Source organism: Homo sapiens, chromosome 6 (assembly GCF_000001405.40).
Source record: "Homo sapiens chromosome 6, GRCh38.p14 Primary Assembly".
Classification (NCBI taxonomy): domain Eukaryota; kingdom Metazoa; phylum Chordata; class Mammalia; order Primates; family Hominidae; genus Homo; species Homo sapiens.
The window spans coordinates 159,864,934-159,888,786 of record NC_000006.12 but is presented as its reverse complement, the minus strand read 5'-3'; the positions used below and the strand labels follow the sequence as shown (position 1 = coordinate 159,888,786).

The window sequence follows — 23,853 nt, the reverse complement described above, 5'->3', positions numbered from 1 at the left end:
GCGGGTAACAAAGCAACTGAACCTGGGGAAGAGGAGGGTCTGGAGCTCCAATTTCCGGCGGAAGTTCTAGCATCCACCTCCAAGTCACACCTTCCAAAGTTCCCTAGAGAAACAACATCCCTCTTTCTGCCATCAAACAACAGAGAACCATAATGAAGGGGGCCTGGTGGAGGGCCTTATGGGAGCAGGGAAGAAGGAAGCTTATTTACCCACGGCCACGCAGCAGACCCATAAGTGGCAGTACGCACAAGTGGTAGGTCCGTTTAAGTAGGGTACAGTGGTAGAATCCCTACGTAGACCATAAGTGGGAGAGCCCGTAGGCACCCCAGTAAGTGGCAGAATTCCTTTCTTCCATCAGTGCTTTACCCTAAAGCTCCAAACCCTCTCCGTGCCTCTTCACTCAGCGCTAAACCCAAGGAAGTCTAGAGAATTCAAGTCACATCCTAAGATGTGCTCCTTATCTGGAAGGAACTCTTCTACGCCCTCGACGCTGAGCCTATATTCTGGGGAGATAACCATTAAGTGCCTCACAAAAGCCCAGCACTCCCCTCCGTGTTAGAAAGATGGAGAGTCAGGAGGGCAGGGGGCTGGGCTGCACCGACGGAGGGAACGGTCAGTGCCTGAGTGCTCACTTTCACAGAAGACGGTTCCAGAATAAGAAGTGGAAACACACGGAAGGTCCACAGAATGGCAGGCAACTGGCTTAGGACACATTGTCTCGGTTCACCATTCAGGAGCAGAACAACTTCAGGTATGCTAGAAATTTAGACTTGCAAACTTGACCGGAGGGACGAGTGATTATCCCATCTGTTTGACTGACAGTCTCAGAGTGGAACTGGTCTGCCCTCTGCCCTCTGGAGCTGCAAAAGAGGCTTCAGACCTCATTGACCAGATAAAAGCCCAAGATAAAACCCTGAGAACAGAACTCTCCCAGGCTGATCGGATCCCCATCAGCCTCAGGGAATCTTCTCCAGGCTTCTGCTAGCCAACCCTGCCCTGGAATTGGTTGGGTCTGTCCCCAGTAATAATCTTTACGCTCAGCATACATTTCTTAAACATCAGATCTGAAAGAGAAATGACATTTTCTCCCCGACGTGCTCGGTTTCTTCCAGCTAGTCAGGTCCACATGGGGGAGCATAGTGAGAGTACTACAAAGGGCAGAAACTATATAGCTATGAAAACGGGGAAGCAAACCCACCAGACACAGTGCAAGTAGTCCTCCAAGATGCACCCTGGGAAGGGCCCAAACAGAGCACAGCTGCAGATAAGAATTCAGCATGTGGGAGGCTTTGCTTCCAGCCCCCAGGGCCCCCCCAGCCTCCCCTCAATCATAGGAATCTGCCCAAAAGGAGACTTCTCATCTGGCACAAGTGCCTTTGCGGAGCAGTGAGGAGGATGTGAAGTGACCAGAGTCGGGCATCCCTAATCCAGGATAGCTCTTCCACTGAGGGGCGGGGCGAGGCTCAGGGAGCTGCTTCCCTCCTGCGGGAGAGCCTGGGATGGTGTCCGCTGCCCCAGAGATCATCGCAGTGGACAAACTAGACCTCACTAGTTCCAAAAGGAGAACTCCCAACTAATATAGCTCATATAAATAAGAAAATAAATAAATGCCTCTCTGAGTCCCCCAGAATCACCAGATATCATATCTACAGGGCTGGCTAAAGTTTGCAGCAGGAGAAAATAATTAGAAAATAAACCGAGCATGCTGTGAGGCAGCCCGGGCCAACATAATAAAGATGGGGAGAAGGCAGGGGTGGCACCGGGTGCCAGGGCAGGGTGGGGAAGGAGGGAAGAGGAGAGGAGCACACTCCATCCCCGGGGGGAGATCGGGGTCTGCCTGAAGAGGCTCACACGCTCTGACGATTTGGGAAAATACCTTTACCCCAACTAATTTTCCTCCCTTCCTCTCCCCTCTTTCCCTGGGAATCTTTGTTAAAAGGGCCCCTGAGGAAAACCAGTGCCAGAGCCCTTTGCTCAGGACGGATGATCTTGCTCACAGGGACATCCCTAGAGAAAGTTCGCATTGAGTCACAGGTGAAAATGTACGAGCACTTCGTGGATGACTCGCTCGATCCGACGTGAGAGCTCATCTCCGCTTCAGGTGTGTGTACTCCTGTCCGTCCCTCCTCCAGTTCAGCACCATCTGGGTTAATAGAGCTATACAGGAAGTCCTCAAAATTCCTTTTTTTTTTTTTTTTTTTTTTTTTGCCCCCAGGAGTCACAAGGACATTTCTTAAGTGCTTAATATTTTATCCCCATTTTACAGATGAGGAAAGTGAGGCTTGCAGAGTTTAAGTAACTTGCCCTATCTCCCTTGTCAGAGCAAGGAGAGAGCGACACCAGAGTGCACCATCCCCACCTATACCTAGGACGTAAAAGCTGTAAAGTATAAACTCATTTTCATTCTCCTCTTCTTTTTTTAATCTCACTTTTCTCTTTTTTCTAAATCCAGAACACCATACTAGAAAGTTTTTTCTTGAAAAACTTTGGAAATAATTGTGGAGTGGGAGATGTTCAAAAGTATGTGCTCATAATAAATTCACAGCAAAAGGGACTTCATGACATTCACGGCACTCACAGCTCAATATGAGAATAAATGACTGGTGGTGCACACCCATAGATACTTTACGGTATCTCTGATTTGGGAAGCAGGATAGATGTCTGAAGCCTTGTAGTTTATTAAAGGAGGATTTCAAGTTAAAGTATGATACTCCGCTTGACTTCAAGATTTATTACTAAGCTACAGTAATTAAGACAGTGTAGGCAGGGCGCAGTGGCTCATGCCTATAATCCCAGCATTTTGGGAGGCCAAGGCAGGCTGGTGTTGGTAAAAGAATAGGCAAATAGATTAATGAAATAGAATAGTGAGTACAGTTATGACACACACATATGAGAAGATGACTTTCAAAAAGGGTGACAAAACAATTCAATGAGGAAAGCCAAGTCTTTATAGAGCAGATGAATATTCACAGCGAAATAAGTGAACCTCAGCTGCTACCTCACACTGTACATAAGAGTGACATTGAGAGGGATCACAGATGTGAGTATAAAAGCTAAATCACAAAGTTTCTAGAGTGAGCAAGAGAGTATCTTCCTGATATTGAGATAGGCAAAGATTTCTTAGGATACAGAAAGCACGAACTGTAAAAAAATTGATTAAATGGGCTTTATTAAAATTAAAAATGCCTGTTCATCAAAGACAAAATTTCTAGGCAAGCCACAATCTTGGAGAAAATTCTTGCAAAACATATATCGGACAAAGGACTTGTATCAAGAATATAGAAAGACTTCCTACAACTTAAAAAAGACAATACAGTTTTTTTTTGAAATGGACAAAAGTCTTCAACAAATACTTTATAAGTGAAGATACGTAAATGGCCAAGAAGCTCATGAAAAAGTATTCAATATCGGCTGGGCGCAGTGGCTCATGCCTATAATCCCATACTGTGGGAGGTCGAGGTGGGCAGATCACCAGGTCAGGAGATCAAGACCATTGTGGCTAACACGGTGAAACCCCGTCTCTACTAAAAATACAAAAATTAGCCAGGCGTGGTGGCGGGCACCTGTAATCTCAGCTACTCAGAAGGCAGAGGTAGCAGAATCGTTTGAACCCGGGAGGTGGAGCTTGCAGTGAGCCAAGATAGCACCACTGCAGTCCAGCCTGGGCGAAAGAGTGAGACTCCGTCTCAAAAAAAAATAAAAAAATAAAAATAAGTATTCGATATCATTAATCATCAGAGGAAGGTAAATTAAAACTGTAATGAGATACCTTTTCATACTTACCAAAGTGTGGGTACAAAGGTTGTTCACACCAAATGTTGGTGAAAATGTAGACTGATTAGAACTCTAACATAGCTCTGGAGGGAGTATAAATAGCACAGCCACTTCAGGAAACCGTGGAAGTTTCCTAAACATTAAACATGCATCTACCCTATGACCCAGAAATTTCACTCTTAGGTATTTATCCATCAGAAGTTAAAGCCTATAGCCACAAAAAGCCTTGTGTAAGAATGCTCATGGCAATTTTATTTACAAAAATAAAAATTAGGGCTGGGCGCAGTGGCTCATGCCCATAATTTCAGCACTTTAGGAGGCCAAGGTGGCTGGATCATCTGAGGTCAGGAGTTGGAGACTAGCCTGGCCAAAATGGCAAAACCCATCTCTACTAAAAATACAAAAGCTGGCCAGTCATGGTGGCGTGCGCCTGTAATCCCAGCTACTCAGGAGGCTGAGAAATGAGAATCACTTGAACCGGGGAGGGAGAGGTTGCAGTGAGCTGAGATTGTACCACTGCACTCCAGCCTGGGTGACAGATCGAGACTCTGTCTCAAAAATAAAAATAATAATAATAATAATAATGATAAAATAAAATAAATAAATAAATAATAAAAATTAGACACAGCCCAGATATCCATCAGCTGGAAGCTGGATCAACAAAGTGAAGATCATTCATACCATAGAACAATGGAATATTATTTGCCAACAGAAGGGAGCAACCCACAGATACAGTTGCATACAACAACATGGGTAAGTCTCCGAAGCATAAGGCTGAGTGACAGGAGCCGGACACTAAAGAGTACGTATATATTATCTGAATCCATACGCATATATGAAGTTCTGGAAGGGGCAAACTTGTCTATGGTGATGGAAATCTGATCGTTTTTTACTAGAAGTGGCAGATTGACTAGGAAGGGGCACCAGAGAACTTTCTGAGGTGAAGATAACATCCTATATCTTGGAGGTATGGCCGATGTAGATGTATGCATTTATCAAAACTCACCAAACTCAATAACTAAGATTTGTGCATTTCACTATATGTAAATTTCATACCTCAATAAAAGTATTTCTTAATTTAAAACAAGTATTATAGCTGAGCTTAGTCATTGAAATCTTCACACTTTGTTTTCCCTTAGTGGCTAAGGAAAGTGATTTGTTACAAAACCACAAAATACACATAGACACACGCATACAGAAGCATATACTTATATAATGTCAAACTGAAATGCCTTCTTTGCAAACTATGAAAGGAAATGGAATTCTGAATTCATTTTTTAATAATTTCAAATTATGTGCTAAAGTTACATGTTGTTTTATGGCCCCCATTTCTTCTCCGCCACTGCCTCACACCAAAATTATTACTAAAGCAGCTTACATTGTTTGCTGCTAGTCTTTTGGGGAGTAAGGATAGGTTTAAAAATGAATTACAAGTAAAGGGTTTTGATACCAGCCTAAAGCATCATAGCATTATGGTACCTTTTTTTTTTTTTTTTTTTTTTTTGATACGGAGTCTTGCTCTGTTGCCCAGGCTGGAGAGCAGTGGCGTGACCTCAGCTCACTGCAACCTCCGCCTCCTGAGTTCAAGCGATTCTCCTGCCTCAGCCTCAGCCTCCTGAGTATCTGGGACTACAGGCATGCACCACCACACCCAGCTAATTTTTGTATTTTTTGTAGAGACAGGGTTTCACCATATTGGCCAGGCTGGTCTCGAACTCCTGGCCTCAGGTGATCTGCCAACCTCAGCCTTCCAAAGTGCTCGGATTACAGGTGTGAGCCATCACGCCCGGCCACATTACAGTACTTTAAACCAACTAGACCCACCATGCTTTCCAAAACTGGTCCTGGATTCTGCTGGCCACTTTATATTTCCACTAAGGAGTGGCTCAAGATCCAGGTTAATAGGGATGAACATGTTGAATATATAGAGAGCCCATGCAAATTGATAAGAAAAAGACAGTAAGACTCCAAATAGAAAAATGGTCAAAGCACATGGAAAATAACCAACCTCATTATTAGCTAAAGAAATGCACACTTAAAAAATATGTTTCCCTTTTTCACCCACTGGGTTGGCAAACACTTAAAAATTAAAATATTCAGTGCTGGTAAGGGTGCTAAGAGGCAGGCATTCATACATGTTGCTACTACAGATATTACTAACACTAGCTGGTATGCAAGGTGAAAGAATTCCCGGGGCCTTCCTGGGCCATAGTCAGGTGGCCATCCATGCAGACATGAGCATTGGGATGGTGATGCGATTTTTAAAATAAATGAAATGTTTTCTTGTCCTCTGAATCGGCACGTAATCTGCTATACAGACACTTTGCCTTCTAATTCCTTACCTAGATTATAATCCTGTGCTCTTTCTTACCCAAACATCTTGAAAAAAAAATCCAGTTGTGAGAAAGAGTATTTTTGGAGTATTGCCTTGGATCATGGAATCTATCCACTCCTCTAGCTGTTCTAAATATTACCCCGGGTTTAGCCCTGCATACTTGGCCCTTCATGGAACTGTACCATCTCAATTATCCTTTGGAGATATTCATCAGCTAGCATTTCAGGGCTCTACAAAAGAGACACACAAAAAGATCAAAATTGTGCTCATGAAGGTTGGCTAACACCCTTCCCACTATACCTACAAAGTTTCCTTTTTGAGATTTCTACATCTGGAGTAGCTGAGTTTCTTCTGAGCAGCAGCCAATCTGTTTGTATTGATAGAAAACTATAAATTGGGTAGGTGGAATGTTTGTTTCTCTTTTCCTGCTAAGAAGCCTGAAGATATGTATTTGACCTGTCTTTGCAAAGGTACCATATGGCTACCTAAAAGAAAAATACTCAAAATTATTTAGTCAGAGGTCAAATCTGGGCACCATAAATTTGTATCATCCTTTTTCTGTCAGTAACTATAGATTTTGGCAATGTTTTTTCACCAATAATATCCTCAAGGATACTGAAAAAAAAGTCACCTCTAAACGATAATAACTTGTATATTGGGAATACTACAAATAGCTAACAAAATAGCAGTGACTCTGAATTCCTGAAGAAAGGAGCCCTCTAAATTCTCAATAGCACTTGCTAAATTCTTCTTTTTTTTTTTTTTTTTTTTTTTTTTGAGACAAGAGTCTTGCTCTGTCGCCCAGGCTGGAGTGCAGTGGCGCGATCTCGGCTCACTGCCAGCAGTTGCTAAATTCTATTAGAGTTACTTTATTATGTGTCTGTTTACCTGATTAAAAATAGCTCTTTGAGGCAAGAGTCATGCCTAACTCATCTAGTATTGGCTGAGCCTAACAGTAAGTTGAATAAATCAATTATGTTTAGAATCGTTACCACAATTTTAAATGCTGGTTATCATTATTTCTTGAATGTTAGTCTAGTTCCTTCAGTTAGACTGTATGTAAGTCATATGGGAAATGAACGACATCAATCCTTCCTTGTGTGCCTGAGAACACAGTAGGGGCTGAACACTGTTCTGTGTTGTTGTTGTTGTTGTTGTTGTTGTTGTTGTTTGGAGACAGGGTCTAACTCTGTCGCCTATGCTGGAGTGCAGTGGCATGAACACGGCTCACCAAAGCCTCGATTTCCTGGGCTCAGGTGATCCTCCCACCTCAGCCTCCTGAGTAGCTGGGACGACAAGCATGCCACCATGCCTGGCTAATATGTACATATATATATATATATATATGTATGTATGTATATATTTTTTTTATAGAGACGGGGTCTCACTATGTTGCCCAGGCTGGTCTCAAGCAATCTTCCTACCTCAATCTCCCAAAGTGGTGGGATTACACGGTGAGCCACCATGCCTGCCACGGCTAAGTGATTTAACAAACATCTGTAACTGAGTAAATTGACTAGAGCCCTTCGCTGACATTTTGCTGAAGCAATCTGTCTCTGTTGATCATAACTAGCATTTAGCAAACCTTTTCCTGAATATAGCATGGTAGAATACTAATAACTTACATACGTTTAGAGGATGCTTGGGACATCTTTGTCATTACTGCTTGTCATATTTGAGAGAGTAAGGACTTGCTAACTTGTTTTTGTAAAGCCAGGATACCTTATCACGGTATTCTGTGCATCATAAAATGTACTTACTAAATGATTTTGGTGGCAGATTACAAAGGTAAAAATGTATCCAACTAGCCTTGCTTCATGTATCTGAAAACAGCCTGCACATCACCCACATTCCACACCATCTGCTGGGCTCATTATTGGTAAGTCAGTGCCCATACATTGCTCTAATGAGGTGCACTCGGCATCTGCAATGAGGAAAATCACAGCTTAATGATTTCTGGCAACTGTTAGCTACTTAAGAGCTATTCAAATACCCAATGTTTAATAATAAAAATTACAGGCGCCACGTACGGGGACTTATGCTTGTTCTCCCAGGGACTCAAGAGGCTGAGGTGGGAGGATCACTTAAGCCCAGGAGGTCAAGGTTGCAGTGAGCCACGATTCTACCACTGCACTCCAGCCTGGGTGACAGAGAGAGATGCTGTTTCTAAAATTTAAAAAAAATTATAGTAGACTAAAACAAAAATGTGTCCAGCCCACACAATACAGCAAAATAAATAAAATAGACCTTCTTAATTTTGTCCCAACTTTAAGCATTGCTCAGGGGAAAGAGGAAAATACAGTCACCTTCCCACGGCTCAGGCTCACCCACACAGTGTGTGGTCTCCGCACAGAAGACCTGTTCCTCCCATGCTTCTCTTTCTTCATTTCCACAGACCTACCGCCACAGAAAGGGAACACAAGAGGACCAGCATGGGGCAAGCTCATCATACTCGCGTTCTTATGAGAATGTGCTAGAGAAGCAGCCTGTACGATTGGCCAAAATGAGACTAAGGGATTTTCTGTGTTCTCCACCGTGCTCTGCTGATAAGGAACATTAACGGTTGATTGTGGGCATCTAGAAGCCACTTCAGGCCACGAACTCTGAGCCAGAAGACACCAGCCCTTATATGGCCTGATGTGGTCTGGATCCATGTCCCCGCCCTAATCTCCTGGCTAATTGTAATCCCCAATGTTGGAAGTGGGGCCCGGTGGGAGGCGATTAGCTCACAGGGGCGGTTTCTCATGGTTTAACACCATCCCCCTTGGTTCTGTCATCACAACAGTGAGTTCTTCATCACACACCGGGGACTGTTGTGGGGTGGGGGGAGGGGGGAGGGATAGCAGTAGGAGATATACCTAATGCTAAATGATGAGTTAATGGGTGCAGCACACCAACATGGCACATGTATACATATGTAACAAGCCTACACGTTGTGCACATGTACCCTAAAACTTAAAGTATAATAATAATAATAATAATAATAATAATAATAATAAAAAAACAGTGAGTTCTTGTGAGATCCCATTGTCTAAACATGTGTAGTACCTTCCCCACCACTCTCTTCCTCCTGCTCTGGCCATGTGAGACACCTGCTCCCCATTTGCCTTCTGCCATGACTGTAAGTTTCCTGAGGCCTCCCCGGAAGCTGATGCTGCCATGCTTCCTGTACAGCCTGCAGAACCATGAGCCAATTAAACCTCTTTTCTTGCAAATTACCCATTCTCAGACATTTCTTTTTTTTTTTTTTTTTTTTTTTTTGAGACGGATTCTCGCTCTGTTGCCCAGGCTGGAGCGCAGTGGCGCGATCTCAGCTCACTACAAGCTCCGCCTCCTGGGTTCACGCCATTCTCCTGCCTCAGCCTCCCAAGTAGCTGGGACTACAGGCGCCCACCACCACACCTGGCTAATTTTTTGTATTTTTAGTAGAGACAAGGTTTCACCGTGTTAGCCAGGATGGTCTTGATCTCCTGACCTCGTGATCCACCCACCTTGGCCTCCCAAAATGCTGAGTTTACAGGCGTGAGCTACCGCGCACAGCCCAGACATTTCTTTATAGTGGTGTGAGAACAGACTAATACCTGGCCTCTCTTCCATAGTGAAGTGGAGGTGAGGGTTGGGTTCCTAAGTGCTGACAGGAAAGGAGTGGATAATGGGGATAATGGGAAAAGCAGAAGACTCCTATGCACAGGGCAAAAAATGAGTGGCCCCATGGAAGTATATCTTCGCCATCAGGGAATCCCCGGAATCCCTGGGGAGAGGTCAGAGTCAGAGGGCACAGACTTGTTGACATAGGTGAAGCCACACTAACCCAGATTCATAGCACAATTCATCCAAGTTACATGCAAATCCCTTAAATAGTTCTGATGCCCTGGGATTGTAAAAGGCATAAGCTGAGCTGAATATTCTAGAAAGCTCTAGAATAGGATAGTTCTAAGATTGGAGACCTTTCCCAAGCGATTCCACAGGCATAAACCCTGCAACGCTGTGTGCTTCTGCCCTGGGCGTGCAGTCCCGACAGGATACCATGCCAGCACACTCTCTGCTTCCCGGGGGAGGTGGGCCCTCCCTGGCAGCTGCTTTACCAGAGGCCAACCTTGAGGTTCTCTCTTCATTGGCACAACAAGGAGCCTTGGAGCCAGAAGGACCGACTGACTGCCTTTACCAGGAGGTGGGGCTTTAAACACCACACTCAGGAAATGGACTTGCTCATTCTTGTTATACCCCAAGATGCAGCAAGGTTGTACGTTCCCCATGTCCACCTCCGACAGGACCTTCACACCTTGAGTTGCTGTGAAGGAGGCTCATCCACACTTGCACAGTGATTCTTGGTGGAGCTGGGGGGAGATCAGCCCACCTAACACCACACGTGGCACTGTGTGTCCAAACAGCAATCCACTTCTCCGCTGTTGACCTTGAGCAAGTTACTTCCCTTTGCAAAGCCTCAGCTTCTTTGTCTGTAAAATGGGGACAATGACGTATCCACCTAATAAAGGCTGTTGGGATAATTAAATGGGATGATGCAAGAAGGACTCCTAGTAAGTGTGGATAAATCTTAGCCATAATTGCATTGTTGGTTCTACAGCTATCGTGGGACATACCAGTGTGGCCCATAGGATATGTAATTTGAAATTCTATCTATATCTTCAATAAGTCAGTCAGTTGTTCTCATAATACAAACTAAAGAATAGGACTCAATAAAGTCACCTTGGTGGCATGGGATGGAGAAAATGGAGGGTGAGACATTGTAGTTGTGTGGTGCTCGCTGTGCAGTACGTTGCTCTACCAGATCACCTAGGGCTGTGGCAAAAGGGCCCCACGCCCTGGGTGGTTTAAACAGCAGAAATGTATGCTCTCATTGTTCTGGAGGCTGGAAATCCTAAATCCAGGTGTCACCAGAACGTTGGTCCTTCTGAGACTAGGTGGAGCCCTTCCTTGCTTCTTCCCAGTTTCTGGGGTGGCTGGCTGTCCATCCTTGGCACTCTTTGGCTTGCACAGTCTCTGCCTTTGTGGTCATGTCATTGTCATCACATGACCATCTTCTTATAAGGACATCGGTCACACTGGATTCATTCAATATGAGTTCATTCTACTCCAGTATGACCTCATCTTAACTAATTGCACCTGCAACAACTTCCAAATAAAGCCACATTCTGTGGTACTGGAGGTTGGGACTTCAGCGTATCTTTTTAGGGGACACAGTTCAACCTGTAACAGGTGCCTTACAAAGCTGAATTGTGTTGGCCTGCTGCACACTGGGATGGCATTGGAACATGTTCTTGAGACCGTGCTTAGGCAGCTCTGGGGAATGAGCCCCAGGCAATAGTGGGTGTCCTGTGAGCCCCGAGTGGTCTCCCTGACCACCAGTACCCTCCCAGACCCCAAACCAGCCCACTGCTGGCATGTGTCCAAGGCAACCAGAAGCATTCCAACATTATTCAAAAATCTCTCATGTATGTTGAGGGATGGTGACTGGGGGAAGAAATGATTTGCAAAGAAAGAAAAGAAACAGTTCTCTGTTGTCATCCTTTTAAAAATGTCTGCTCCTGTTATTTTGAGTAAGGTGGTGGTTATACAGGTATCTACTTATATCAGCAGTCATTGACCTGTACCCTTAAAGTCTGTTAATATTTCTGTATACACATTTTATATCCATAAAAAAAGTCCAGAAAAGAGTAAGAGAGTGGAAAACTTAGGTATAACATTATTAGTCTCTAAGTGTTTTTAGTGGATAGCTTTGCTAGATCAAAAACGTGTAATCAGTATATCAATGGAGGGTGGGAGGGGGTGAGCGTTGAAAAATTACCTATTGGGTACAATGTTCACTGATTGGGTGATAGGTATACTACAAGCCTAAACCTCACCATTATGCAATATATCTATGTAACCAACCTGCACATGTATCCCCTGAATCTAAAATTTTAAAAAATTAATAATTTTAAAAGCATATACATTGAATAATAACAGAGCTGCTCTATTTTGTGCCCCTCCAGCAGGAATCAGGGTTTTCCCTGTGTGCCTCATTAGTCCAAAGATGTGCAAGTTTCCTGCTGTGTTCTAGAGGATCCTGCAGTAGAGGGTTGTCCACTCCACAAGGTGGACGTTAGAGCTGGGTGGGGTCTGAGGCACAGGGGAGTGCCTCACTGCACTGTAGACAACAAGTTGACCTTAGAGACAATCAGTAGGATGAGGGATGGCTGGAGGCTGAGTCTTGCTGGCCAGCCTGTAATTCTTTGAAGGGTGGAAGGACAACCAGAGTACATGCCCCACCCAGCTCTCATCCACACGGTCTTCTCCTTCTCCCAGCCTGTGGTTATTTATCGAGTCACTGTCAGTGGAAAAAATTGGTCTGGAAATATGCAGCTGATCTTTCCATTCTGGGTGAATTGCAGCCTCATTTTCCCCTGTGACTGCAGTGGATGATTATATTGAGCAGTGCAGGCTGGGGCAGGGGAGAGCCTTCGGGGTCCAATGGTGAGAAGATAGAATAACTTGGAAAATCTTTGCGTTCTCACAAAGACTTTCATTCTTCCAGGTTTCCCTCGACTAGAGAGGTGCTAGGACTCTGTCCTCAATCTGTTCCTCCAGAATGGTTTGTTCCCCACTCCCCTTACCAGTCAGCAATGGGCTGTTTGTGTGACACTGTCCACTTGTCTCCCTAGTGACACACAGCAAAGCCACAGAGCAGAATGGATTTCTTGCTTTGCCCAACGTGGAGTTGCTTCTCCTGCCCCTGTGCCTGCCCCTGTGCTGAAGGCCTCAGCCTTGCCACTTAGCCACACATGCTCTGATGCAAGGGTTGGACCCACCTAGCCGAGGTTTCTCCTCCAAGATAGGCCACTGCCCCATCCCCAACTTAGATCCTCTGAGGGGGTATTTTAGTTTATTTTGTGTTGCTATAAAAGAACACTTGAGACTGGGTAATGTATTAAAAAAATACGTTTAGCTCACAATTTTGCAGGGTGAGAAGTTCAAGGGCATGGCCCTGGCTTCCAGTGAGGACTATCACAACTGCATCATAACGTGGTGGAGAATATCAAAGGGGCAGTGGACACGTTTGAAGAGGAGAAAGTCCCAGGGGAATGCTGGCTCTATTAACAATCCTCTCTCAAAGGAACTAATCTATTCCCAAGAGAACTCATCTAGTCTCCCCGGGGCGAGCACTCACTGATTTCCTTGAGAATAGCACCAACCTATGCATGAGAGATCCGCACCAGTAACCAAACACCTCTCACTAGGCCCCACCGCCCAACACTGCCACATTAGAGATCAAATTTCAACATGAGTTCTGACAGAAACAAACAAACCACATCCAACCCATAGCAGAGGGGTAGTGGCCCTGACCTTTCTGGAGAAGTGGCAGGACCTTCTGTCTGGCCAACCCTGTGTACACAGGGAAAGCTCACCAGTGGGCAGATGTTTCCTGTGGGTTACCCTATCTTGTCCTATTTCATTCTCCTCCCCTACTTTATGCCTGGATGTATTCACATGCTAGGGCTGTCAGAACAAAGTGCCACAGATTGGGAGGCTGAAGTAGTAGAAACGACAATTCCAGAGGCTGGAAGTCCAAGATCAAGGTGCTGGCAGAGCGGCCTCTCTCCTTGGCTTGCAGATGGCCATTTTCTCCCTGTATCATCACATGATCTTTTCTCCATATGTATATGACTCTGTCCTAATTTCCTCTTCTTATAAAGACCCTCAGCCATACTGGATTAGGGCCCACCCTAACCACCTCATTTTAACTTAATCACCTCTTTAAAGGCCGTATCTGCAAATATAGTCACATTCTGAGGTACCAGATGTTAGGGCTTCAGCATAGGAATTGGGGTGCAGTCAGACACCATTCAGCCATAACAGTGGGTAAGGTTCTAAACAGTTGTAGCACAAGACACAAAGAGGCTTCAGCAGTTGACCATTTTGCTTCCTGTCCTGCAGCCCCTGGTTCCTAGCAACACTCTGTCTGCCAAAAGCTCCCACATCCTTACCCTGGCAGCCGGCCACGGCTTGATCCAGTCTGAGCTGTTCCAAGATGTGTTGGTGGCTGCTTGTTACAGTTCCTGTGTTTTGTTCCTGAAATTAGTTGCACACTGAATTAGGTCTCCAGTGTCTCAACTCCTTCCAGAGGCAGATGGGCAGCCTAGGTCTCCCCTCCAGTTCCCCAGCATAAGGAGGAAGTCTTCTGGCCTCACTCCTAGAGACATATGGACATCCTAATGCCCAGCATCTTTAGACAGTTCAGTTACATCTCTCCAGCTGAGGCCTCCAGTTGAGAGAGTGACTGATAGACAGTTCTGGATTTCTGTCCTTCTCAGAGCTGAGGTATGTCCTGTGTATATTACCCACTATGGGATGGTTCTAGCCAGGAGCCCCCATGCTGAAATGTTGGAAATCCAGAGGTGGGCTCTGCCTTCTGTTCCGGGGTGGACTCCACTTGTGTGCTGAGGGTGGTCTGGCAGGCACACCAATGCGCTCCCAAGGCTCACACTCTCAAGGTCCAAAGACATGCTGTTGAGGAACATTAACACCCATGGCTTGCTGCTTTTGAAGAGTCCATAGCTAAGATGTCCCTGACATCAGTCACCTTCATCTGGATACAGACGGCCCAAGGCTCTCAAATAGAATTGCCATATTCTGTCAACTGGGGCCCAAAAAGTACCCTCCCCAGAAGTCCATTGTTTAATGGAATCGTTGTTTAATGCCTTTAGAACCAGTGAACATGTCTCAAGAGGAAAGATCGGTTGTTTGCCACTAGTCTGGGACATGACTTTGAAGTACTCAGGACAACACCTCATTTTCTTCTAGTTCCACAGTAAAAGTATGAGGCCCTTGGGAATGAAAGATTTGTTCCTGTTTATAACTCACTCAGCTCAGGGCCACCCGACTGCCTCTTCGTCCGTTCCCTCCCTCAACTGCAGTGGCATGGAGCTGCCTGCCTGGTGCCATGGAGTTTGCTACTTTGAGAGCGGGGGCCATGAATCTCTAGCCAGACCATGAATATCTCCTGACCTCGAGTCTAGATTTCCTCAAGCCCTTCCTGGGGAAGACTTTCAGGGATCCATGTATGGGATCTGCAGGAAGGGGTGTCCACATCTTCGCTGCTGCAGCTTGGTCCATGATGAACCCCGAGGTCATGGTTACGGACACCCACCTGGGACCTCAGCACCTGTGTTGGCTCCAGTGAGGGGTTACCCGAAGAGAACATTGTCAGACCTTACCACAGAGATGACTCCATACCATATGCCTGAAGCCAGTTTATAAGGGCCAATCTGAGGACTAGGAAATTTAATTTGACGTGGGGCTCAAGTCTCACTTTCAGACTCTGACACACAAAACTTTCTCTGTGGAGTATCTCTCTCTCTCTCCCCCACCCCCCTCATAATTGATTTAATTTTTTGAGACAGAGTCTCATTCTGTTGCCCAGGCTGGAGTACAGTGGCACCACCTCCACTCACTGCAGGCTTGACCTCCCAGGCTCGAGTGACCTCCCACCTCAGCCTTCCAAGTAGCTAGGACTACAGGTGCACAACACCATGCCCGGCTGATTTTTGTATTTTTTATAGAGACAGAGTTTCACCATGTTGCCCAGGCTGGTCTTGAACTCCTAGGCTCAAGCAATCCACCCACCTCGGTCTCCCAAAGTGCTAGGACTACAGGTATGAGCCACCATGCCCAACCTGTAATTGATTTTACTGTGGTAAAATATATATAACATAAAATTTACCAGTTTAAGCACATTTAAATGTACAGTTCAGTGGCATTAAGTATGTTGTGCAGCTATTACCACCATCAATCTCCACAACTGTTTCATCCTCCCATACTGAAACTCCAGACCCATTAAACAATACCTCCCCATTTCCCCTCCACCCAGCCCCTGGCAACCCCCATTCTATATTCTCTTGAAGAATCTGAGCACTCTAGGGACCTCATGTAAGTGGAATCACACAGTATTTGTCCTTTTGGGTCTGGCTTATTTTACTTAGCATGATTTATCATGGTTTATCCATGATATCGATGTTTATCCATGTTATAGCATGTGTCAGAATTTCCCTCCTTTTGAAAGTTGAATGACATTTTGCTGTATGCGTAAACCACACTTTGTTTATCTGTTCATGTGTAGATGGGCACTTGGGTTGCTGGAGGGCAACTTTTTAAAGAGCGCTGCATTGGAGGACATGCTTCTAGATCACTTCCCAAATATCCTTTGTTCTATCTAGCTCTCAGGAGCCCTCTTGCAATCAATAGGCTGGTATGCTTCATCTAAAGCTAAATGGAAGGTACTTTGCAGGTACTTCTGACCCCAAACTACACATGTGACAAGCAACCTGTGTCAGTCAGGGCTCTTAAGTGCAAGCAACAGAAACAGACACCAACTAAGCTGAGTAGAAAGATGATTTATTAAAAGGATATTATCTAGCTCACAGAATCTCCAGGAAGACAAAAAAATCCAGGCTAAGTTAGAATTCCAAAAACAACTGCATGAGCTAAAATCATGCAGCATCATTAGCTGCATCAAGACACTGCTGCTACCTCCCCCAAGCCACGATGACTCAGATGCACCTCCTATTACCACTGATACCCTGCACCGACGCGCTGTTAGCACTGCTCCTGCTACCCATCTTCCTGCCATCACCACCCCCACCAGGGAGACCATTCTCTGTGGCCTGCCCCTTCTTGGCAGCAGCAGATAAGGCAAAGTCGGGACCAGAAACATCTAATTGGCTGTGCCAAGATCAAAGCCCATGGCCCACAGGAAGGGAAGCTGGGAAAGTGAGATTATAGAGGTGGAGAATTCCCCCAACATGGAAAGGGCGTTAGACTCTGGGTGGCCAAAAGGAGAGACAAAGATTCGCTTCAGGTATTAATGACCTCTGCAGCCCCATTTCAGTCCATCCCAGGTAGTAAGCATCCCAAACTATTTAATCCTGCCTTAGGCCTGATGATGTGGGGCTGCTACCTGAGCCCACACTTTACAGGCCTACAGTGGCCTCCTCAATCACGTTCCACCATAGGGTCAAAGTCTGTGGGACCCAGGCCATGTGCCTGCCTGCAGCCTATGGCCCTCCCCTTTTTGTTGCACTCTAGATATCAAAGACCCTGGTATTTTGGGCCAAACAGCTCTGAGCCTGCTTCCAGGGCCTGCACAGGCCTTGTCGCTGGGTCTGTCCCACTGAAGGTAATGCATGCTGCCAGTGGCTATACTCCTGGGCCAAGGGGTGGCCAAGTCAGGGCTGTTTTCAAAGGGTGTGCATGGAACTTGGATATGTTCCCAGGGGTAGCCACACATTTGCAAGTAAAGCTCCTCACAGAGAGGAACAGGGCCAAGCTCAGTAAGAGAAGAGGGTTGGGCTATAGGCCATGGGCATACTCTGTGGCTATGTTCTGTCAAGGAACTCCAAGGAGTCCAAGAATTCTAAACTTGAACCTGGCCTTCCAATTGTTTCAAAAGTCTATTTTTCAAAAAATGAAATACCTAGGAATAAATTTAACCAAGGAGGTGAAAGATCTCTAAAAGGAAAATTATGAAACACTGCTAAAAAAAATAAAATTGAAGAGGACACAAAAAACAGATCATTTTCATGGATTGGATTTAATATTGTAAAAACGAACACACTGCCACAACTGATCACAGATTTAATACAACTCCTATCAAAATACCAATGACATTCTTCACAGAAGCAGAAAAAGCAATCCTAAAATTTGTATGCTATCCCAAAAAACTTTGAATAGCCAAAGCACTCTTGAGCAAAAATAACAAAGCTGGAGGTATCACACTACTGGACTTCAAAATATACTACAGTAACCAAGACAGCCTGGTATTGGCATAAAAACAGACACATGAACCAATAGAACAGAATAGAGAAATCAGAAATATATCCACGTGTTTACAGCCAACCAATATTCAAGAAGAATATCAAAAATATTCATTGGAGAAAGAAGAGTCTCTTCAACAGTTGCTTCAATAAGTAAGTGCAGAAAAATAAAACTAGACTCCTTATCTCTCACCATATCCAAAAACCAACTCAAAGTGGATTAAACACTTAAATGTAAGACCCAAAACTATGAAACTACTAGAAGAAAATATATGGAAAACACTTCAGAACATTGGTCTGGAAAAGGACTTTATGGAGAAGACCTCAGAAGCATAGGCAACAAAAGCAAAATAGACAAATGGGATTATATCAAACCAAAAATCTTCTGCATAGCAAAGAAAACAGTCAACATAGTGAAGAGACAACCTGCAGAATGGGAGAAAACATTTGCAAACTATTCAACTGATAAGGGATTAATATCCAGAATATACAAGGAACTCAAAAACAACTCAACAGCAAAGCAAGACAAATAGAATGTATTTGTTTGGCTCATTAAAACAAATTAAAACATTAAAAATGAGCAAATGAGCTGAGTAGACATCTTTTAAAAGACATACAAATGATCAAAAAGTATATGAAAAATTTCTCAACATCACTGATCATCAGGGAAATCCAAAGCAAAACCACAATGAGCTATTCATCTTACTCCAGTTACAATGGCTGTCATGAAAAGATTTTCAAAATAACAAATACCAGTGAAGATGAAGAGAAAAAGACCTTTTATACATTGTTGGCAGGAATGTAAATTAGTACAGCCATTATGGAAAACAGTATTGAGGTTTCTCAAAAAACTAAAACTAGAACCACCATATGACCCAGCAATCCCACTACTGGGTATATATCCGAAAGAAAGGAAATAAGTACGTTGAAGAGATAGCTTCATTCCCATGTTTATTGTAGCACTATTCATACTAGTGAAGATATGGAATCAATCTAAGTGTCCATCAATGGATGAATAGATTTTTTAATGTGATATACTATGTACATATATTACGCATCCAAGAAAATTTTAAAAAAAGAAAATGTGGTACATATATACACAATGGAATACTATTTGGCCATAAAAAAGAACAAAAATCTGTGTCATTTGCAACAACATGAATGAGTTTGGAGGACATTATGTTAAGTGAAATAAGCCAGGCACAGAAAGATAAAACATGTTCTCATCTGTGAAAGCTAAAAAAGTTGATCTCACAGAAGTAGAGCATAGAAGAGTGGTTACTAGACACTGGGAAGGGTGGGGAGGCAAAGCCAGAGGTTAATGAAGGGATACAACTGCACAGCTAGACAGGAGGAATAAGTGCTAGTGTTCTATGGGACTATGGGGTAACTATAATTAATAATTTATTGTATATTTTCAAATAGCTAGAAGAGGAAATTTTGAATATTCCCAACACAAAGAAACAAAATATGTTTGGGGTAATAGATATGCTAACTACCCTGATTTGCTTATTACATATTGTATATGTGTACGGAAATATCACAATGTACCCCATAAATATCTACAATTATTATGTGTCAATTAAAAATAATAATAAACGGGGCCAGTTGCAGTGGCTCACACCTATAATCCCATCACTATGGGAGGCCGAGGCCGAGGCTGTGGATCACTTGAGGCCAGGAGTTTGAGACCAGCCAGGGCAACATGACGAAACCCCGTCTCTATTGAAAATACAAAAAATTAGTCGGTTGTGGTGGCACATGCCTGTAATCCCAGCTACTCGGGTGGCTGAGGCATGAGAATTGCTTGAACCTGGGAATCAGAGGTCGCAGTGAGCAGAGATTGTGCCCTCCAGCCTGGGCAACAGAGCAAGGCTCTATCTCAAAATCAGTAAATAAATAAAAAAAAATAATTATAAATGAAAAATGTATATTGGTCAAGGTAAAGAATAGAACATTTTATTTAACAGTTTAGTAGCTTGTTTTAAATTTTTTTATTGTGGTAAAATATACATAAAATGCAATTTACCATTTTAACCATTTTTAAGAGTACAATTCAGGGGCATTAAGTATAATGACAATGTTGTACAACCAACACCACTATCCATTTCCAGAACTTTTCATCATTCCTAACAGAAACTTAGTGCCCATTAAACACTAACTCCCCATTCTTCTCTCCCCGGCCCCTGGTAACCAGCATTGTATTTTCTCTCTCTATGTATTTGCCTATTCTAGGTTCCTCATGCAAGTGGAATCATATTTATTTTTCCTTTTCTATCTGGCTTATTTCACTCAGCATAACGGTTTCACGGTTCATCCATATTATAGGAATAAATTTAACCAAGGAGGTGTATCAACGTGTGTCAATGTGTCAGATCACATGTATCAATGTGTCAGAATTTCCTTCCTTTTTATGGCTGAATAATGTCCCATTGTAGCTACATACCACGTTTTGTGTATCCATTCCTCCATCATGGGCAATTGGGTCGTTTCCACCTTTCAGCTAGTGTGAATCAGGGCTGCTATGATCCCTGGTGTACAAGTATCTGTTCAAGTTCCTGCCTTCAATTCTTTTGGGTACATACCCAAAGTGTAACTAGGGAATCAAATGGGAATCTATGTTTAACTATTTGGAGAACTGTTTTCTACAGTGGCTGCACCATTTTACAATCCCACCAGCAATTCAGGAGATTTCCAATTTCTCCACATTCTCACCAACACCTGTTATTTTGTGTTTGTGGGGGTTCTTTTAAATAATAGCCATCCTAACGGATATGAAGAGCAGTGTGTGGTTTTAAATATTTAGACATGGGGGATGTGTACGCTTATGCCAGACCCCACATTGTTAGGGTTGGGCCAATTCTTATCACCATAATTGTGTCAGAGAAGTGTATTTGCTCTGTAGGGCTGCCATAAGAATTACCTCAAGCTGGGTGGCTTAAAATAACATAAATTTACTTTCATAGTTCTGGAGGCCAGCAGCCCAACACTAAGCTATCAGCAGTGCCATGGTCCCGCTGAAGTCTCTAGGGAATGGTCTTCCTCACCCCCTCCCACTTCTGGTGGCTTCCAGCATTCCTTGGCTCGTGGCAGCATCACTCCAGTCTCTGCCCCATCTCCCTGGCCTCTTTCCTCTTGTCTCTGTATGTCTTTTTCTGTCTCTTACAAGGCTCTCTCCTTGGATTTAGGGCCTGCCCTAATCCAGTATAACCTCAGCTGGAGCCTTAATCACATCTGCAAGGAGCTTATTTCCAAACAAACTCACATTCTGAGGTTCTGGGTAAACGTGAATTTTGGAGGAACAGCGGATTCCTTTCCCACCTGCTCCACTGCACAGCAGCACAGAGCCCACCTGAGCAGTGCTGAAGGGTGAGAGGTTGCTCAGGGGGCATCAGATTCATGAGGCAAGAGCAGCCCAGGGGGGTCTTTAATGTGCAGTGAAGCCGGCGGAGGTTCCTTCACTCTGGCCCCGATATGCAGAAATACGCCCGTCTTTAATTTTCTAGAGTGGAGCTATTGGCTCTCAAATTCCTATACCCACTTTGTTCGGGAAACATACTTCATCTTGGCACCTCAATGTCACTCTGTCTCTTCTGTTTGAGTAGCTCCTTTCCCGTAAGCAGGCAACTCTGGTTCTAAATTCAGTCATTTCAAGGTTCCAACTCCATGCAGGGCTGTTCTCTCTGAAATCTTTCCTCTCCTTTCCCCTTTGCAGATCAGAGGCCTGCATGCCGGGCCTGCATGCATTGCGGGGGGGCCTGCGGCATCAGGGGCAGTGGGGACCTGGTCCTCAGGGCGCTTACACAGAGGCGGCTGAACGCGCAGGACCCAGAGAGCCGGAGAAGCCTGCCAGGGGCAGGGGCAGGAAGCGTTAGGGCTGGTGAGGGGGACTGGCCTGCCTGTGGCCCAGGGAAGGCTCCAAGAGGCCACAAGGCGTCCCTGAGCCCGGGCTGGCTGTCAGCGGTGTCCCAGGAAACGGGCCGGCCCCACACCTCTGCAGCACCCTGGAGGGAGCCCCCAGGAAGCTGGGCAGAGGTGGACCCCAGGCACAGCCAGGCCCCGGGCAGCGTGGCCCCTGCAGTTGAGGTGACAGGCAGGCCTAAGGCGCCCCTGTTTCCAGGCCTTGCTCTCCCTCAGCTGTCTCTCCTGGCTTTGAGACAACCCCTGCCCCACCCGACATCTCTCCAAGACAGTCACACGAGCACTTCGTTCCCGGCCACCTCCCGAGCCCCCGCACAGTGATACAGGGGAGCTTGTGTGCATCTTCTCTGTGAATTGTGGCAGATGCAGCCTCCCAGGACGCTGTTGCAGGCTCCTGCCAACACACACTCCACCAGCCTGCGGCCACCCAGGGACTCAAGGCTCCTCAGCCCCCCCACTGGCCTTCCAGGCAGGAAGCAGAACACTGCTGCCTCACCTCCAGGCTCTGGAAGCTTCTGGGCCGACCACCCTGGAGTCTGAGCATGGGGAGGGTCTGCACCCAGTCCACCTCGGCCTCCTTTCTCCAGGGCCTACTGGCAGCACTAGCAGGCTCTGGTGATACTGTGGGATCATAAGAAATACGAGATCAGGAGTTCAAGATCAGGCTGGCCAACATGGTGAAACCCCGTCTCTACTAAAAATACAAAAATTAGCCGGGCGTGGTGTCGGGTACCTGTAATCCCAGCTATTCAGGAGGCTGAGGCAGGAGAATCGCTTGAACCCAGGAGGCAGAGGTTGAGGTGAGCCGAGATGGTACCAGTGCACTCCAGTCTGGGCGACAGAGCGAAACTCCGTCTCGGAAAAAAAAAAAAAAAAAACACGCATTGTGGTGTTGTCCCTGGCTCCCAGCCACAGCTCCTAAAACTCTTGTACTTTTCTAAGTGATAAGAATGACAGGAGCAGCTTTTGTTACAATATTTAGATTTTGTCTCCAGTTCCCGAACAGCTCTGGAGCTACAAAGGTGAAAAAGGAGCATCTCTTGTTGCTTGTAGGGAGGCTATTCTTGCTTCATGAGTTTGTGTGAGTGAAGTGACTTTTGGAAAGGCCTAAGGTTGGGGTTGATTACCAGAGAAACCAACCAGATCATGAGGAGACTGGAACTTTCAGCCCCACTCCCCAGCCTCTGAGGGGGCAATGTTGGAATCAATCGTGTCTACGTAATGAGGCCTCTGTAAAAACCCAAAAGGACGTAGTTCTCAGAGCTTCTGGGTTGATGAACACACGGAAGTGCTGGGCCTTCGTGACCCTTTCCCCTCCTTGCCCAGTGCGATTTGGCTGTTCCTAAGTTGTATTCTCCATAATAAACGGGTAAACAAAAGTAAAGTGTTTCCCTGAGTTCCGTGAGCCATTCTAGCAAACGATCGAATTCAAGGAGGGGGCTGTGGGAATCCACAGTTCATAGCCGGCCAGTCAGGAGTCAGAAGGGAGGTCCAGACCTGCGATTGGCATCTGAAGCAGGGCAGCCTTGTGGGGCTGAGCCCTCCACCTGTGAGATCTGATGCTAACTCTAGGCAGATGGTGTCAGAACTGGATTAAATCATAGGACATCCAGCTGGCATCCACAGAAAAATGGAGAATTGGTTGGTGTCAGAAAACCCTGCCTGTTTGGTGTCTGATGTGAAGTGTGTGACAGTAGAAGGAAGCACAGTTGGTTTTCCCTTTCTAGGACCTCGTCCCCTCTTCACCCCACATCCCCACAGTCTGTCTGAAAATTAACACTCCGTGCTTTCGTCCTTCAGGCCAGACATTCTGATATTTACAGCTCGGCCTCAGAAGTTCCCAGAACTCCTGTCCTTCAATGGTATCTGCAATGAACTTTTTTTTTTTGAGACGGAGTCTCACTCTGTTGCCAGGCTGGAGTGCAGTGGCATGATCTCGGCTCACTGCAACCTCTGCCTCCCGGGTTCAAGCAAGTCTCCTGCTAATTTTTGTATTTTTAGTAGAACGGGGTT

The 23,853-nt window shown here is 45.2% G+C and overlaps 1 annotated feature.

Moving 5' to 3' along the window:
* Positions 12,871–13,523: an enhancer, noted in NCBI's record as "OCT4-NANOG-H3K27ac hESC enhancer chr6:160296296-160296948 (GRCh37/hg19 assembly coordinates)". NCBI's record gives its function as "activates a minimal SCP1, AML or CMV promoter by ChIP-STARR-seq in primed H9 embryonic stem cells {active_cell/tissue: H9 hESC(primed)}" and the evidence as "EXISTENCE:reporter gene assay evidence [ECO:0000049][PMID:30033119]".